Below are 19,014 nucleotides of genomic sequence, written 5' to 3'. Positions count from 1 at the left end.
GTTTTCAGAAGATGACAGTTTGGTGGGGGATTTCTACAGGAAGAAATCATCAGCATTATATGGAAAGTGCTCTCATGGAGGCATGCCAAAATACTGTAGAAAGAAAGACCTTGAAGGATGACTAGAGTGACCTGATAAGGGGCTGCCAGGGGAACACTGGGGCAGATGGGAAGAATTCCATATCTCAGAGACTGGGACGAATATGTGGTGATTGTTTCCAGATGTTTAAATGATTTTAGGCCTGAAAGACAATTTTTGATTATTAAAAAAATTATCATCTTGAAAGTCCTATTTCCTACACATTCTGCATAAATTCTGTCTCTATCTGTGTAGTTATATATTAATATGTACATATCAGTTACAATATCTGTAAAGATATCACTATATCAACAACACCAATAGTAGTAATTATACCAACTACGATGCCAGGCACAGTGCCAAGCTCTTTATTCCTTAGAACACACCAAGGCAGAAGATAATATCATTATTCTGATTTTATAGTTGGGGAAACCAAAGCATCATGAATGAAAAAACACACAGTGATATCATGATTTAACAAGTCTTACTGAAAGTGATTGTTCATGTGTTCTTTCCGCATCACCAATATGTCTTATAAATACATTTATGTTCTAAGATGAGGGAGAGATGTATGTGCCAAAATATGCTGCCGGAAAAGTGGCTAAGTCAACAAGCATAAATGTGTACATTCTAGAGAAGTGGTTGCTTTAAGATGCTCCTAAGAATGGAGAGGACTCAGTGACTGCTGCCTGTGTCTTAAATGTCAGGTAGAGATTTTCTGTGATGAACAGAAACAGCTGCTTTATAATAATGCTCAAAATAAGGCCCAATTTCCTTATAGTAGACTATTTAAATGAAGCTATTCACATTTTATTTTGTGGTTTTAGAGAATTTTAGTGCTCAGCGAGTTAAAGAAATGGTAGCATGGTGCCTGTGTTGGCCTGGTGTGGTGGGGATTTCCTTGAAATAATTTGTCAGTGAGATTTAATTCTTCTAGCCCTTTTTTGTTCTTATGTCTTATTCCTGTTGAATTGTGGTAATGGGTAGTGGTTTTGAATACTTCCCAATTATTCCTGTAGTGCTTTATACTAGCCAAAAAGTGCCAGGAGGCACACATTCTTTTCTATTCACATTCCCCAAAGCCTTGTAATTCAATTAATGCTCTGATAACTAGATCATGATTCCCAATCATGGGATTTTGAGACATTTCAGATGATCTCCAGTTGTCTGTAGGGATGCAAAAAATGTGAAGTTCTTCAATATTTTTCAAATGAGATGTATTTTGTTATTATTATTATTAACATGGAATGAATTATCTGTATACGGCTTGAAAAGTCGATGAGGGACCAGTAGCCTTTTTGCTTTGATCAATGAGTAACTTTGGCTATTCCTCAAAGAGCCCACGACCACATTGCATAACTGCACCTCTATACTTACAGCCATGTAAGATATTCAATGAGAATCTGGAATCTTAGAGAACCTGAAATGCAGGGGTATGCTAAGTGGGCTTTATTGTATTTGTCTTTTATATTTGTGGGTTTCTGTATGCATAAAGTTGCTGAGTAAATAGTAGTTCTGTAACTCCTTGATAGAACCCAGCGTTCCTCATTTCCACTTCACTCAGTTTCATCAGTTCTCTGCTTTGACCTGCATATATGGGTGTGTTTAATTGGAAGGAACTGAAGGTTCCTATGCCCACATTGTTTTACCTGTAACAGTGGTATGCTCCTCAAAGATTGTATAACAGAGAGGTTCTATACTGGTAACACTAGGTATATTCAACGGGCATTTTTTCTGAAGAAAATAAGAAAATTTTCAGAATTAAGCCTGTGTATCTTAAGAACACATAGAAATAAACTGTAAGCTCCTTGAGGGTAATTTCTGTCTCATTCTTAATTAGATCCCCAACATGTGAACATATTAGGTACCCCAAATATTTGAATGAATGACTCATGTATAAAAGCAATGTTTAGCATGATGATGGATATGGGATAGATGTTCAGTAACTACTTATTGACTTAGAGGAGAATCCTGAATCTTCACACTGGGAAAGGAACTGTTATAACTGGAGTGGCTTTCTAAGGCATGGGTGTAGGCATGGAACTGAGTAAGGTGAGACGTAGTTTTTCACCTACTCTTTTCTTCCTCTTCTCCTCCCTGTTTGCTCCATTTATTATCATTTTGCTGTCATAAGCAGCTAATTCAGAATCCTTTGTGATTTAACACCATAGGCAAATGTATTTCAAAGTTGCTCCTTACAGTAAAACCTTGAACTTCCTGCCATAGTATATTTTAAATTTACATCTCAAAACTCACTGTGAAGGGACTGCTTAAATTTTGAACTGTGCCCAGTGCCTAGAGTCGTGTGAGTGCATGTGGGCCAGGCGTGGTGGCTCACGCCTGTAATCCCAGCACTTTGGGAGGCCGAGGCGGGTGGATCACGAGGTCAAGAGATCGAGACCATCCTGGCCAACATGGTGAAACCCCGTCTCTACTAAAAATACAAAAAAATAGCCGGGCATGGTGGAGGGTGCCTGTAAACCCTGCCTGTCAGGAGGCTGAGGCAGGAAAATGGCATGAACCCGGGAGGCAGAGCTTGCAATGAGCTGAGATCACGCCACTGCACTCCAGCCTGGGAGATACAGGAAGACTCCATGTCAAAAAAAAAAAAAAAATACATGCATGTGCCCACAAGAGTTTACAACATTCACAGCAGAAGCTTTAAACTTTCACTTAAAGGTTAGAGAAAGTTGGCTGGATAGCAAAAGCAAATTTATTTAAATACCATTTTTACACTCTTTTCATAATAGTAACATTCTATCTTTTTTTTTTTTTTTACAATGATTTATAGGCATTGGAGCAGAACAGGGGAGTCAGGAAAAAAAGCAATTAACGAGTAAAGGAAAAAGTACCAATAGTGAAGGGGAAAAAAAATCTTCTGAAAGCTAAAGAAGAGAGAATAATTGATGGTTCCATTTTAGCTTAATGTTATTTCTGGATCTCTTTTATAATGTATTATTTACTGCATAGTTTATAGTTGACAGAAAATAAACAGCATTTGCAATATAATGTCTTTAGTTCTGCCATGCACTTGCTCATCCCACTTGCTTGTCAAGTTAGAACTTCAACCAACATCCGTCAACGTCTCCTGTGATGGAGTCTGTTTTTAATAAGCCCAGCACTATAATTACCTTATTGCAAAGTTAAGGCCAAATGACACTTATGATGAAGGTTTCATGGCTAAACAGTAAAGTCAGTGAAGCATATGCATACCAACTGTCAGACAGGAAATAGCTGTTGGAGGATTTGTTTCTTTATTGCTAGATGAGGGTCACTTCATTTGTACTTGGAAACTTTGTCACAACTGCAACAGGTAGCAGAGAAGGAAAAAGAATAAATAACATAGAGGATAACTTAGAAAGATACCATTATTAACAGATTTTTGAAAAGATGAATTACTGAGCATCTGCACCCAGTAATGTCTGTGCTAGGTGTTTTCACAAATATTTTTTAACTTAAAACTTCCCAATAATCCAAAGAGTTAAAATATTGTCCAAATTTTGTAGATGGGGAAACTGAGGCTTTGAAAATTTTAAAACTGTGTGCTGGAGGCCCTTAGCTGACAACTGGCAAAACTACACCAGCAACCCAGTCTAGATTATTCAAAGTCGAGTGAGGTTTTCCCTATGTGATAGCTGCCATAAGGTAAAGGATTTGGTCAAGCATGATCCAGATTGTGGTCTGGATGGAAATGAGCCATGGTTTAGACAGGTCCACCTACTGAGTTACTAATACTAGAAAGGCAGAGAAGCAGATAAATGATGATCTTCTCTATTTAATAGCAAAGATCCCCCTCTATTTTACATTGTCTGAAGTTTTACATTTTTGTGACAATTACAATCAACTGTGAATTGATATATCAGTATACATCACATTGCACATCACAGCATCTTTCACCAGAGAAGCTCTGGAAATAAATGGAGTCTTGCTCTCATCTTAGCATGTGTGGATGACAATGACAATGACAGAATGGTGCTGTGTCTGAAAAGTTAGGAGCATCATTTCGTTTAACAGATGATGCAAAATGAATCACTGCATCATTTGACTTAATGCATCATTTGACTCATTTAGTATTCACCAGGCTACTAAATCTGGGATATTTTTTTCTCCATTTAATATCTCAAGGCAGAAATATGGGACTTCTTTTCTACTCTTCTCTTGAGGTATTTCCAAGCAATAGTAAGAGCATCAGATTCTTCCCCCGGTTTCCCTGAGGATTCATGTTGGATCAACCTCAAGAATTGCTCTGCTGCACATCTTGGAAGAGGAATGCTCTGCTTTTCAATGGAGTGCTTAGCATCGGTGGCATCAGACTTGAAGTTAATTTACTGAATAGGGTATTTTGATTCTCAAGACTAATTCACATCAGGACAGGGTTTTAAAATAATGAATTGATGCAAGGTAAAAATAACTTTTAAATGTTTTGGTTACAAAATCAATGTTAAAGAAAGTTGTATTTCAGGCTATGGAAGTTAATATTCAGTCATTGCCCTGATCCATCAGCAAAGATGGAGACTGTAGAAATCAAACTCTTGGCTCTTCAATGGCATCTCTGTGTAATGCCTGTCATCTCTGTATAACTCCTCAATTGAGTTATCAAATACCACTCAGGATGTGAAAAACAATTAGGAAGTCAACTAACAAGTGGATTGCTTGAAAGCAGGAGCCCTCTCTCACTACATAACACATACTGTTCACCCCTTCTCTTCTCCTTAGTCTGTTGCTTCTGAGGTTAGGAGGTTGAAAGGGCCTGGAGATTGGCTAGGTCAATGTGGTGATGGTGGGGTCACAGGACTGATTTGGCTTCTCTTAGTAATCAATGGAGGGGGTATCTGGCCATCAGTTTTCTACAGCTTTCTTTAGAATGTGGAGTATTTGATGTCACTGTCATCAGTTTTGTCTTCAAGCCACCATTTCTGAGGTAACAGGTTAAGTTCCCCCTCAACATTTGGTTATATTCACATGTCTTACCCAGAGACACTGAGGTTTCCTGTAATTTCTCCTAAGAGTACTGGTATCAAGAATTTGCAGGCCTGGGCTTTTTATGTCCCACTACTTCCTCTAGTCACATGATCTTTTTGTGGTTTTTTAACCTTGCTCATATCAAGACCAAGTGCATAACTGATGTGAATAAGGTAAATTTAGTTTGGCAGGAGGAAAGCATTAGCAAGGAGATCATTGGAATGCATTCTTTCCCAGCATTGGAGGGGGAGGATTCACTTCTGTTGTGTCCAGCCTTCTTGTGGATTTAAAAATCATCCATCTTGAGTTGATTTTTGTATAAGGTGAGAGATGAGGATCCAGTTTCATTCTCCTACATATGGCCTGCCAGTTTTCCCAGCACCATTTGTTGAAAAGGGAGTCCTTTCCCCACTTTATGTTTTTGTTTGCTTTGTTGAAGATCAGTTGGCTGTAAGTATTTGGGTTTATTTCTGGGTTCTCTATTCTGTTCCATTGGTCTATGTGCCTATTTTTATATCAGTTCCTTGCTGTTTTGGTGACTATGGCCTTATAGTATAGTTTGAAATCAGGTAGTGTGATGCCTTGAGATTTGTTCTTTTTGCTTAGTCTTGCTTTTGCTATGTGGGCTCTTTTTTGGTTCCATATTAATGGTAGAATTGTTACAAAAATCAACTCAAGATGGATTAAAGACTTGAACCTAAGACCTGAAACTATAAACATTCTAGAAGATAACATTGAAAAAACCCTTTCTATACGTTGGCTTAGGCAAGGATTTTATGACCGAAAACCCAAAAGCAATTGCAATAAAAACGAAGATAAATAGCTGTGACCTAATTAAACTAAAGAGCTTTTGCACGGCAAAAGGAACAGTCAGCAAGAGTAAACAGACAATCCACAGAGTGGGAGAAAATCTTCATAATCTATACATCTGACAAAGGACTAATATCCAGAATCTACAATGAACTCAAATAAATCAGTAAGAAAGAAACAATCAATCCCATCAAAAAGTGGGCTAAGGACATGAATAGACAATTCTCAAAAGAAGATACACAAATGGCCAACAAACGTATGAAAAAATGCACAACATCACTAATGATCAGGGAAACGTAAATCAAAACCACGATGCAATACCACCTTACTCCTGAAAGAATGGCCATAATCAAAAAAACAAAAAACAGTAGATGTTGGCGTGGATGTGGTGATCTGGGAACACTTCTTGTGGGAGTTCAGTCAGGCTGGTGGGAAAAATTTTAAGATGAAGTTATAGGATGTAAACACAAACCTTGGAAGGCCGGAAGGTTTTGCAAATGTCTCAGGCTAGGGTTATGGCTGAAAGCAGCCTAATCCTTACCTTGAGCTAACAGCTTGGGGCACAGATACAAAGGAATGTAGAGTAGTTTATCTAAATAGCTTGTTTACTCATGTGGTCCTAAAATCAACCTTTGATCATTTGTGGGCAAGATGGCCCTCTTCAGGGTGGGGATGACCACAAGTGTGTTGACTCAAAGTCCTTGTCAATTAAATCTGTACTAAATAAATGGAAGCGTTGCCAGCTTGGAAGGGGCTGCAAACTCTCTTTGGCCCCTAGTGCCAGCAGCCCCCAGCCCACTCTTCCACTGAATATCGGTGTCTGAGTACGTGTCTCATCCGTCATGCACCTGGGGTCTGCAGGACAGACCCCCGCTACTTCTGCACTGCTGATTGGAATGTAAACTAGTACAGCCACTATGGAAAACAGTGTGGCGAAGAGTGGGAGGGCGCGAGGGATAAAAGACAACAAATATGGTGCAGTGCATACTGCTTGGGTGATGGGTGCACCAGGTTCTCACAAATCTCCACTAAAGAATTTACTCATGTAACTAAATACCACCTGTACCCCAATAACTTATGAAAAAATAAAATTAATAAAATAAAAATAAAAATCATCAATCATATTGTGTCATTTCTAACATCCACAGTGGGTACAACAATAAAATGACAATAAGATTACATTTATGCAAATGTACCACATGGTACAATTTTTTTTTTTTTTGATACAGGGTCTCTGTCACCCAGGGTGGAGTGCAGTGTGGGGCCTATGAAACTGCATTTTCATTATTCTTCCCAGGGAATTCTTAAACTCACTAAAGTTTGAGAATTACTGATGTAAAATAAGCTGAAAGCCCATGCACACCTGTGATGGAAATGATTTAGGGAAATGTTATCATGTGATAGAAGCCCTGTCATGTCGGGGCTGAGTGTTGTGAATAAATGGTTTTTTTTTGCAAAAACCAGAGTTGTCAAGAGACATTATTTGGCTGTCTCAGGAAGAGCCTCATGGGATGGAGTCTTCATGGTTTTGGGGCCTGGACACCTACTTTGCATGGGCAGAAATTAAATTGGATGTTTTTGCCTGCAGGGAGACTGGGTCATGCTAATAAATTCACAAGAGACTTACTGGTAAAAAGACTACTGCTTTATGAATTTGTGGTAGAAATTATACCGGGTTTAAGAACCAAGACCACATTGGTGGGTCCCCTGGAGACAGGATATACATCAAGTGACTCAGTGAACAGTGAGTTATCAAACTCATTAGTAATTGTCTGCGTACTAGTCTACTTCTCTTACTAGACTGAGCTCTCTTCGAGCATTTTATTCCTGGTATCTCCCTCATGTACTGAAGTGCTCATTAAAAAATCAACACTTATTGGAGAACTGTTGAATGAACAGATGAATGATTCTAAACCAAGGGGATCAAATAATCAGAGGCATATTTATATTGATCTGGGCCAATAGGATGGATTGCTCTTCATACCAGGAATATTTCTGCCTACTAAAAGAGTATCCTCTGTCCTTTGCATTTGTTAAAACTGTGATAAATTCTTACTTCTGCCTCCTCTTCCTGCAGGTCCCCACTTTATGTTGGACATAGCTCTATCTCATAATGTCAAGGTAAAATCCATGTGGATAGATAATGCTTCATTGACTTGTTTCATAAGTTGTTGTTTAGTTGGTATCCTGACGTCAACTTGAACCACCTTACTAAATTTGAGAAACATTCAAATCTAGTTTAAATAAACATAATTTTGGGGGTGGCTTTTTTCTTACCTCAGAGAATAAAAACTTTCTGGCCTTGCTTTTATATTCTGGGACATTTCTTATTTGCTCTTTTATATTCTGTTGCAGCAGATTGTCTCTCGTATTTTTGGTAAAAAAAATATTTGTGCAGAGGTTTTTCAATGAGATATTTACTAATGGGAAGTGCATAAGAACAGTGCTTAGAGGTACTTAAGGTATGTCAAGGGCTGAAGTGTCCAAAAAGACAAGGTATGTTTTGTATCAAATACACACATGTGTTTCTCTGGTGTGAAATACAGTCAGTGAAATACTCTTTTTAAATTTTTTTTTTTTTTGAGATGGAGTCTCACTCTGTCACCCAGGCTGGAGTACAGTGGCGTGATCTCGGCTCACTGCAACCTCCGCCTCCCGGGTTCAAGCGATTCTCCTGCCTCAGCCTCCCAAGTAGCTGGGACTACAGGCGCCCACCACCACACCCGGCTAATCTTTTGTATTTTTAGTTTCACCCTGTTAGCCAGGATGGTCTTGGTCTCCTGACCTCATGATCTGTCCGCCTCGGCCTCCCAAAGTGCTGGGATTACAGGTGTGAGCCACTGCGCCTGACCCCAAATAATTATTTTTAATTGACACAATAGTTATACATATCTGTGGGATACAGTTTGATGTTTTGATACATGTATACAATGTGTAATGATCAAATTAGGGTAATTAGTATAACTATCACCTCAAACAGTAATCATTTCTTTGGGGTGAGAATATTCAAAATCCTCTCCTCTAGCCATTTGAAACACTGTTAAAATGATGTAACCCCCCTTATCTTGCTTGATTCTTGTGGAGATGGGGCCTGTCTCATAATCATATACCTGAAACACTTAGTAAGACGTGACACCGTGGCCTGTCTTTTCTTCTTCATTGTTTAAAGTCACCTAAGAGACTGGGAATAAAGGAAACAGTGTGAAGAGGAAGTTCCCTGAGAAAAGAAAATGTTCATTGCTGTGAAATTGATAAGATCTTTCAAACATTTCATATACAGGAAAATAAAAAACTGAACTCATATAGATATATATGTGTGTGTGTCTGTATATACACATAAATAATATTCATATCTATGTAATCTCTTAGGCAGCGGAGAGCCTTTTATTCATTTAATAGCAGCAAGATCTCAATAGCTCACAATTTCTAGCCATTTGGGCTAGAGCACAGAATATGTGTGTGTGTGTGTGTGTATGTATACTTTTTTTAAACACTAACGCTAAACACTAGAAGCTCAACAAGGCCCTTTAATGAGTAAAATATCTTGTCAGAGTAGAAATAGAGCAAAATTAAGTCAATTTTCTTCACCTGTTGGTGAATAGGATTAGCTTTAAAAAGGAATACAGGAAGCTTTTGATCAAATACGGTGCCAAAAATAAATAGCTTCTCAATATTCTGTTATCTGCCTATCTCATAATAAATGGAAAATATGAATTTTTTTGTGTGTGCAGATTTCTCTAGGAAATTTTTTCTTTGCTTATTACTTCTTCTTTTGACCATGACTCAGTCAACGAAAAGCATAAAAGCCTAAGTTCAGAAACTTATGATGTGCATAATATGACATCAGTAGTGATGAATGAATAATAATTTAAAAAATGAAGACTTCCACTGTGCAAGAGATTTAACTGTATTTTTTTTTCACCTGACGGTTCTGTGAGTTATTAGATTTTTCCCTATTAGACATTATAATATAAATTGTTATGTGCACTTGTCAGTAAATGACCTGCTACATGTATTTATCATTGAAAAATATAGGAAATAGCATATCTGGAAACATTTATTAAAAGAGCATCTATGTCTATTAGTGTTGTTTTTTAAGAAAAAACAAGAATCCAAAGATGTTTTCATGGTCTGCCTTTTTCTATTTCTAAGTCTATTAAGAGCTGGGTATTTCAGCTACCCACATCTTTGTAGGTGATTGCAATTATGGGCTGTATTGAAATTCTACCATAATTTTGTAAATACCTCGATTAACGCAGTAGCAGATTTTTTTTTGAGCTTTAGTAAAGCTCAAAAAAGCTTAGTAAAGCCTTATGGGTGTGGAAGAGGGTGGGGAGGGATACTTAGTTTCAAAAAGAACGGAATTACTTGAAAACAATCTATATTCATCCAGAAGTATTCCTGAAGCTTCAGAGTTGAGAATATCAGTCTTAGAACTCACCTGAAAATCCTTGCTCTGGGACATCCCTGGACAATGTTTTTGTTTGTCTCTGTGAAACTCTGTGAAAGTATCTGGAAAGAGAAACTTTTGTGAAACTACTGAAAGGGAAACCCAGAGGCATCCCTGGGTGAGGGAAATTGCGAGTTGGAATTTAGGTATGTCTTGGCTGAAAACATCACACTTTTAAATTTTTTATTTTATTTTTTATTTTTTTTCTTGAGACAGAGTCTCGATCCGTCGCCCAGGCTGGAGTGCAATGGCGTGATCTCCACTCACTGCAACCTCCGCCTCCCGGGTTCAAGCTAGTCTCCTGTGTCAGCCTCCCGTGTAGCTGGGATTACAGGCACCCGCCACCACGCCCAGCTAATTTTTTGTATTTTTAGTAGAGATGGGGTTTTGCCATGTTGGCCAGGCTGTCACACTTTTGTAAAAGGATAGCTCAGTTTGTTAAATGCCAGAGTTCTCATTCACTTGGTAAAAAATGTTTAATACTGTTAAGCCTAGATTGGCACATGTCTAAGTAAAGTTGACCCTTTCTGAGACTGTGTTTAGAGCCATACTTCTGGATGGCCAATAAGATAAGTCCTTTGCCATTTTTACAAAAACGGATAGGGTCTACACAGTTGGATTTCTGATTGGCCCTAATTAAAATTTTATGACATCTCTGCTATAGAAGTTCAGGGATAAGAACATGTAGTGCGTGTTTTGGGAAATCACGGAGGTCAGCAAGGTTCTGAAGTCTGGGCACGGTTCTTTGGGTAGACTGAGAGGGTACAGACATGACAGCCGGAGAGAACACAGAGGTGAAGGACAGGGCGCATGTGCAAATGGGCTGGATAGGAAGAGAGGGTTCCCAGCATACCTACAGGCTGTGGAGGTTGGGGTTCTAATAGAGGGCTTTTAGAACTTCCCAAGAGAAGTTTGTATTCAGCAAAATAGGCAAAAAGTCAGGCTATAAATTATATACTGAAGAAGGGAGAGAGGAGTGTGAAGAATGTTTTGGCCTAATGGTTGGAGCAGATGGGGAGAGACTGAAATCAATCCGCCTGTAAGGATAGACACCTAATTAGTGGGTCTGCCTCAACATTTGCATAACTTTAATTCTGTTTTCTCTTTCGTTATTTAATACACATGGCAGCCCCTGGTCTAATGCCTGAGCCCATTGTCTTCCCAGCCTGAGCACAGTCCTGTTCTGGAGGGGACTTCTGGTTTATGACTGTGGACATTCCAGTGGGCAAATCCAAACTCTGTCAACCACCTCCACTCTACCCTGAAATACCCATACCATGGTCATGGGTTAGAGCTAAGGACGTGGTCACTTGTGTTGCTGTCTGCACTCAGGAGAATGAACCCAGGAAGATGCATATGTAGGCTTCAGCTCAGGGTTGTTTGGGCATCTGGGGTGAGGTCTAGGAGTGTGGAGGCACAGCTCTAGGTAGGTTTGGGCTTATCCCTTGGCCTTAACCCCCTTTTCAGCCTGTGTGGAGAGGCTTAGCTGGCGGAAGGTCAGAACAGGGTCCTACGGACAGGGGCCTGAGTTACAAGCCTTAGTTGACTGATTCTAGGTATAGCAGTGCTTATTAGTATGTTTAGGGCCTGGAGGCATTATGAAATATATATAGATATCTTAACCTACTATTTCATTCCTTTAATTAACTTTCACAAAAGCTCTGGTATGTCTTTGGGAAAAAAACACTTTTTGGGACTAACTGAAGGAATAGTTTCTTATTTTTATTGAACTTCTCACATGATTTCTTATGGTTTTTCTAAAAAGGGAGGAGCAGAGATGTAGGGCCAAGCCTTACCAATTTTCCATGTATGGCTCTAATATTTTTCTTTTACTTTTTCAGGAAGATATTGAGCACCTTTTCTATAGGGCATCTTTCAGAATCTGTACTAAGAGCAGATCCTACAAATATAAACAAAATAGACACAGCTCCTTTTCTCAAGGAACTTACAGTCTAGCAGGAGAGGCAGTCTTTAAGTAAATAATCAAAAGATCACACAAATTGATGTAATTTCAGTAGTCAGTGTAGTTGCTGACAATGTAGGTAATTATAAAGGACACAAGTCAAAGGATATGACATAGACTGCAGGGTCAGAGAAAGCTTCTTTGAGGAAGTGATTATTGAATTAACTGAGAGGTAAACTTTTCTTTCTAGAGCACACAGCTGTTGCTAAGACCATGGAGGAATATTGACTGTTCAAGGAACCACAAGAACGCAAAGAAGGAGGAACAAATGGGGGATGATGAAATAAACAGGCAGCAGGTAAAATACGTAGATCGTTTAAAGAACTTGGAGGTCTTTTAAAGGTCTTTATCCTAAAAGAAATAGTAAGCCATGGAAAAGCTTATGTAAAAAGGGCAGGATGCCACGGTCAGATTTGCATATTTAAAGGACATTTCTGGCCTCATAGTAGAGAGAGAGGGGATGGGGTGCAGGAGGAGGCCAGACAGGAGGTTTGTGCAGTACAGGGAAAGATGATTATAACTTGGATGAAAGGTAGTGATCATGGAGATGGGGAGAAGTAATGGATTTGAAAACTGGGAGGCAAAATTAATCAGACTTGAGCAGGGAGATTCCAAAGATGATTCTCAAGAATGTCTTGGGACTTCTCTCTTTGTCAACATTTAATGGCTGGTAGACGAGAATGAGCCCACAAATAAATTTAAGATGAAGCAGCTGGAGAAGGAGGAAGGAAACCAGGAGAGTGTGATCCACAGGCCAAAGGAAGATTAATTTCAAGAATGTTTTGAAGTGTGTAAATAAAATGAAGTCTGAGAAACATCCTTTGGATTTAGCACTGTGGAGATAATTGGTAACCTTAGCAAGTATTGTTTCAGTAAAACAATAGAGGAAGGAGGCAAAATTAATTGGTTAAGACGAAAGCGGTAAAGCAATATGGATTACAACAGAAATTTGGCTGGAAAATGAAAATGAGATAAATATCTGTATATGTGTAAGGAAGAATTTTTTTTAAACTATAGCAACTTAAGGATGTTTGAATTTCTAGAAGAAGATCCAGGAGAGAGGGAGAAATTGAATATACTGCAGAGAGAGGCTTTCCCTTATCTTGGCATTCATCAATATTCATTGCTTCATGAAAACTTTTCATACTCTGGAAAAATTCTGAGAGTAAGAATTTGAGAACTTTGCAGCAATAGCAATAGCAGTTGGGATTTTGCGGGGTAGAAAAACCATCAAGGAGAAGGAGTGACAGGTTTGATAATTGAAGGACCGATTTAGAATTCAAACACTCCATTGTTTGCAACTGCAGCAGAGCTTGTGATTATGCTGAGTGGGGATGTGACTTATATAGACCAATTTCATAAAATCTTTTATTCCTTGGGGTCCCCGGAACAGTGCTACTGTAAGTGTCTGTGCCAGTTTCTGAAGCTTGACTTACTCCATTGAAACCACAGGAAGAATGTTATTTGATTTATGAAAGGAGTTAGCCAGCCATTCACCTAATTTTGGAACAGTGACAGGAATAGGAGGAAAGAAAAAGGATATTGAACCAGAACTGTACAACTTGCAAGTTATCGAGATGCTGAAGGAAGACAAAGATTTTTTAATATTTAGAGTCATACTCATTCAAATAAAGTTAAGAAATCAATTTTCAGGACAATACAAACTCACTAATGCAGACAGACTTTAAGGGGTGGATATATTTCAAAAAGTTTAAACTATAGAATATAGGGAAAGCTAGGTTAGCTACTTTAAGTCCATTCTGGAATGAGAAAAAGAAAAAGAATGGGTTTCTTTTAAGTACATGAAATTACTCTACAAAGAAAGCATTAGCATTTCTAGTTAATAAACTGGTAACTTATTTGTATAGAAAAAAGCAATCACAAAATGCTAAATTTCTTACACATTTGGTTTCCTTCAGTCAGTTAAACATGCTTTCTGCAGCTTCACCCATAGTCATTTGCATAACAAACTTTAACAACAGATAGGGGAGAGGAGCCAAGATGGCCGAATAGGAACAGCTCTGGTCTACAGCTACCAGCGTGAGCGACGCAGAAGACAGGTGATTCCTGCATTTCCAACTGAGGTACCGGGTTCATCTCACTGGGGAGTGCCAGACAGTAGGTGCAGGACAGTGGGTGCAGTGCACCCTGTGTGAGCTGAAGCAGGGTGAGGCATTGCCTCACCCGGGAAATGCAAGGGGTCAGGGAATTCCCTTTCCTAGTCAAAGAAAGGGGTGACAGATGGCACCTGGAAAATTGGGTCACTCCCACTCTAATACTGCACTTTTCCAATGGGCTTAAAAAACGGCACACCAGGAGATTATATCCCGCATCTGGCTCGGAGGGTCCTATGCCCACGAGTCTTGCTGATTGCTAGCACAGCAGTCTGAGATCAAACTGCAAGGCGGCAGCGAGGCTGGGAGAGGGGTGCCTGCCATTACCGAGTTAGTTGTTTTATTAGGTAAACAAAGCAGCTGAGAAGCTCGAACTGGGTGGAGCCCACCACAGCTCAAGGAGGCCTGCTTGCCTCTGTAGGCTCCACCTCTGGGGGCAGGGCACAGACAAACAAAAAGACGGCAGTAACCTCTGCAGACTTAAATGTCCCTCTCTGACAGCTTTGAAGAGAGTAGTGGTTCTCCCAGCATGCAGCTTGAGATCTGAGAATGGGCAGACTGCCTCCTCAATGGGTCTCTGACCCCCGAGTAACCTAACTGGGAGGCACCCCCCAGTAGGGGTGGACTGACTCTTCACATGGCTGGGTACTACTCTGAGACAAAACTTCCAGAGGAACGATCAGGCAGCAGCATTTGTGGTTCACCAATATCCGCTGTTCTGCAGCCACCGCTGCTGATACCCAGGCAAACAGGGTCTGGAGTGGACCTCTAGGAAACTCCAACAGACCTGTAGCTGAGGGTTCTGTCTGTTAGAAGGAAAACTCACAAACAGAAAGGACATCCACACCAAAAACCCATCTGAACGTCACCATCATCAAAGACCAAAGGTAGATGAAACCACAAAGATGGGAAAAAAACAGAGCAGAAAAACTGGAAACTCTAAAAATCAGAGCGCCTCTCCTCCTCCAAAGGAATGCAGCTCCTCACCAGCAATGGAACAAAGCTGGACAGAGAATGACTTTGATGAGTTGAGAGAAGAAGTCTTCAGACGATCAAACTACTCCGAGCTACAGGAGGAAATTCGAACCAATGGCAAAGAAGTTAAAAGCTTTGAAAAAAAATTAGACGAATGGATAACTAGAATAACCAATGCAGAGAAGTCCTTAAAGCACCTGACGGAGTTGAAAACCAAGGCACGAGAACTACGTGACGAATGCAGAAGCCTCAGGAGCTGAAGTGATCAACTGGAAGAAAGAGTATCAGTGATGGAAGATGAAATGAATGAAATGAAGTGAGAAGAGAAGTTTAGAGAAAAAAGAATAAAAAAAATGAACAAAGCCTCCAAGAAATATGGGACTATGTGAAAAGACCAAATCCACATCTGACCCCGCTGTACCTGAAAGTGATGGGGAGAATGGAACCAAGTTGGAAAACACTCTGCAGGATATTATCCAGGAGAACTTCCCCAATCTAGCAAGGCAGGCCAACATTCAAATTCAGGAAATACAGAGAACGCCACAAAGATACTCCTCGAGAAGAGCAACTCCAAGACACATAATTGTCAGATTCACCAAAGTTGAAATGAAGGAAAAAATGTTAAGGGCAGCCAGAGAGAAAGGTCGGGTTACCCTCAAAGGGAAGCCCATCAGACTAATGGCTGATCTCTTGGCAGAAACTCTACAAGCCAGAAGAGAGTGGGGACCAATATTCAACGTTCTTAAAGAAAAGAATTTTCAACCCAGAATTTCATATCCAGCCAAATTAAGCTTCATAAGTGAAGGAGAAATAAAATACTTTACAGACAAGCAAAGGCTGAGAGATTTTCTCACCACCAGGCCTGCCCTAAAAGAGCTCCTGAAGGAAGCACTAAACATGGAAAGGAACAATCGGTACCAGCCACTGCAAAAACATGCCAAATTGTAAAGACCATTAAGGCTTGGAAGAAACTGCATCAACTAACGAGTAAAATAACCATCTAACATCATGCTAACATCATAATGACAGGATCAAATTCACACATAACAATATTAACCTTAAATGTAAATGGGTAAATGCTCCAATTAAAAGACACAGACTGGCAAATTGGATAAAGAGTCAAGACCCATCAGTGTGCTGTATTCAGGAAACCCATCTCATGTGCAGAGACACACATAGGATCAAAATAAAGGGATGGAGGAAAATCCACCAAGCAAATGGAAAACAAAAAAAGGCAGGGGTTGCAACTCTAGTCTCTGATAAAACAGACTTTAAACCAACAAAGATCAAAAGAGACAAAGAAGGCCATGACATAATGGTAAAGGGATCAATTCAACAAGACGAGCTAACTATCCTATATGTGCACCCAATACAGGAGCACCCAGATTCATAAAGCAAGTCCTTAGTGACCTACAAAGAGACTGAGACTCCCACACAATAATAACGGGAGACTTTAACACCCCACTGTCAACATTAGACAGATCAATGAGACAGAAATTTAACAAGGATACCCAGGAATTGAACTCAGCTCTGCACCAAGTGGACCTAATAGACATCTACAGAACTCTCCACCCCAAATCAACAGAATATACATTCTTTTCAGCACCACACCACACCTACTCCAAAACTGACCACATAGTTGGAAGTAAAGCACTCCTCAGCAAATGTAAAAGAATAGAAATTATAACAAACTGTCTCTCAGACCACAGTGCAATCAAACTAGAACTCAGGATTAAGAAACTCACTCAAAACTGCTCAACTACATGGAAACTGAACAACCTGCTCCTGAATGACTACTGGGTACATAATGAAATGAAGGCAGAAATAAAGATGTTCTTTGAAACCAATGAGAACAAAGACACAACATACCAGAATCTCTGGGACACATTCAAAGCAGTGTGTAGAGGGAAATTTATAGCACTAAATGCCCACAAGAGAAAGCAGGACAGATCTAAAATTGACACCCCAACATCACAATGAAAAGAACTAGAAAAGCAAGAGCTAACACATTCAAAAGCTAGCAGAAGGCAAGAAATAACTAAGATCAGAGCAGAACTGAAGGAAATAGAGACACAAAAAACCCTTCAAAAAATTAACGAATCCAGGAGCTGGTTTTTTGAAAAGATCAACAAAATTGATAGACCGCTAGCAAGACTAATAAAGAAGAAAAGAGAGAAGAATCAAACAGACACAATAAAAAATGATAAAGGGGATATCATCACCGATCCCACAGAAATACAAACTACCATCAGAGAATACTATAAACACCTCTACACAAATAAACTAGAAAATCTAGAAGAAATGGATAAGTTCCTGGACACATACGTCCTCCCAAGACTAAACCAGGAAGAAGTTGAATCTCTGAATAGACCAATAACAGGCTCTGAAATTGAGGCAATAATCAATAGCTTACCAACCAAAAAAAGTCCAGGACCAGATGGATTCACAGCCGAATTCTACCAGAGGTACAAAGAGGAGCTAGTACCATTCCTTCTGAAACTATCCCAATCAATAGAAAAAGAGAGAATCCTCCCTAACTCATCTTATGAGGCCAGCATCATCCTGATTCCAAAGCCTGGCAGAGACACAACCAAAAAAGAGAATTTTAGACCAATATCCTTGATGAACATCGATGCAAAAATCCTCAATAAAATATTGGCAAACAGAACCCAGCAGCACATCAAAAAGCTTATCCACCATGAGCAAGTGGGCTGCATCCCTGGGATGCAAGGCTGGTTCAACATACGCAAATCAATAAATGTAATCCAGCATATAAATAGAACCAAAGACAAAAACCACATGATTATCTCAATAGATGCAGAAAAGGTGCAAAAGATGCAGAAAATTTTGCCTTTGACAAAATTCAACAAACCATCATGCTAAAGACTCTCAAGAAATTAGGTATTGATGGGACATATCTCAAAATAATAAGAGCTATCTATGACAAAGCCACAGCCAATATCATACTGAATGGGCAAAAATTGGAAGCATTCCCTTTGAAAACGGGCACAAGACAGGGATGCCCTCTCTCACCACTCCTATTCAACATAGTGTTGGAAGTTCTGGCCAGGGCAATCAGGCAGGAGAAGGAAATAAAGGGTATTCAATTAGGAAAAGAGGAAGTCAAATTGTCCCTGTTTGCAGATGACATGATTTTATATCTAGAAAACCCCGTCATCTCAGCCCAAAATCTCTTCAAGCTGATAAGCAAATTCAGCAAAGTCTCAGGACACAAAATCAATGTACAAAAATCACAAGCATTCTTATACACCGATAACAGACAAACAGAGAGCCAAATCATGAGTGAACTCCCATTCACAATTGCTTCAAAGAGAATAAAATACCTAGGAATCCAACTTACAAGGGATGTGAAGGACCTCTTCAAGGAGAACTACAAACCACTGCTCAATGAAATAAAAGAGGATACAAACAAATGGAAGAACATTCCATGCTCATGGGTAGGAAGAATCAATATTGTGAAAATGGCCCTACTGCCCAAGGTAATTTATAGATTCAGTGCCATCCCCATCAAGTTACCAATGACTTTCTTCACAGAATTGGAAAAAACTACTTTAAAGTTCATATGGAACCAAAAAGAGCCCGCATCGCCAAGTCATTCCTAAGCCAAAAGAATAAAGCCGGAGGCATCACACTACCTGACT

General features: G+C 39.5%; 1 long non-coding RNA gene across 3 annotated transcripts in view; it reads left to right on the top strand.

The window, feature by feature from the left end:
• The window catches only part of LOC105378178 (uncharacterized), an 894,025-nt gene that overhangs the window by 123,633 nt on the left and 751,378 nt on the right, over positions 1-19,014 (top strand). For all 3 annotated transcript variants that reach the window (XR_007064152.1, XR_943837.3, XR_007064153.1), the window contains exons 2-3: positions 7,928-7,971; positions 12,454-12,561. This is a non-coding gene — a long non-coding RNA (uncharacterized LOC105378178). The remainder of the gene's footprint in view (positions 1-7,927; positions 7,972-12,453; positions 12,562-19,014) is intronic.

Source organism: Homo sapiens, chromosome 14 (genome assembly GCF_000001405.40).
Source record: "Homo sapiens chromosome 14, GRCh38.p14 Primary Assembly".
NCBI lineage: Eukaryota > Metazoa > Chordata > Mammalia > Primates > Hominidae > Homo > Homo sapiens.
The sequence above is the reverse complement of the archived record's forward strand: the minus strand, read 5'-3'. Positions and strand labels throughout refer to the sequence as shown.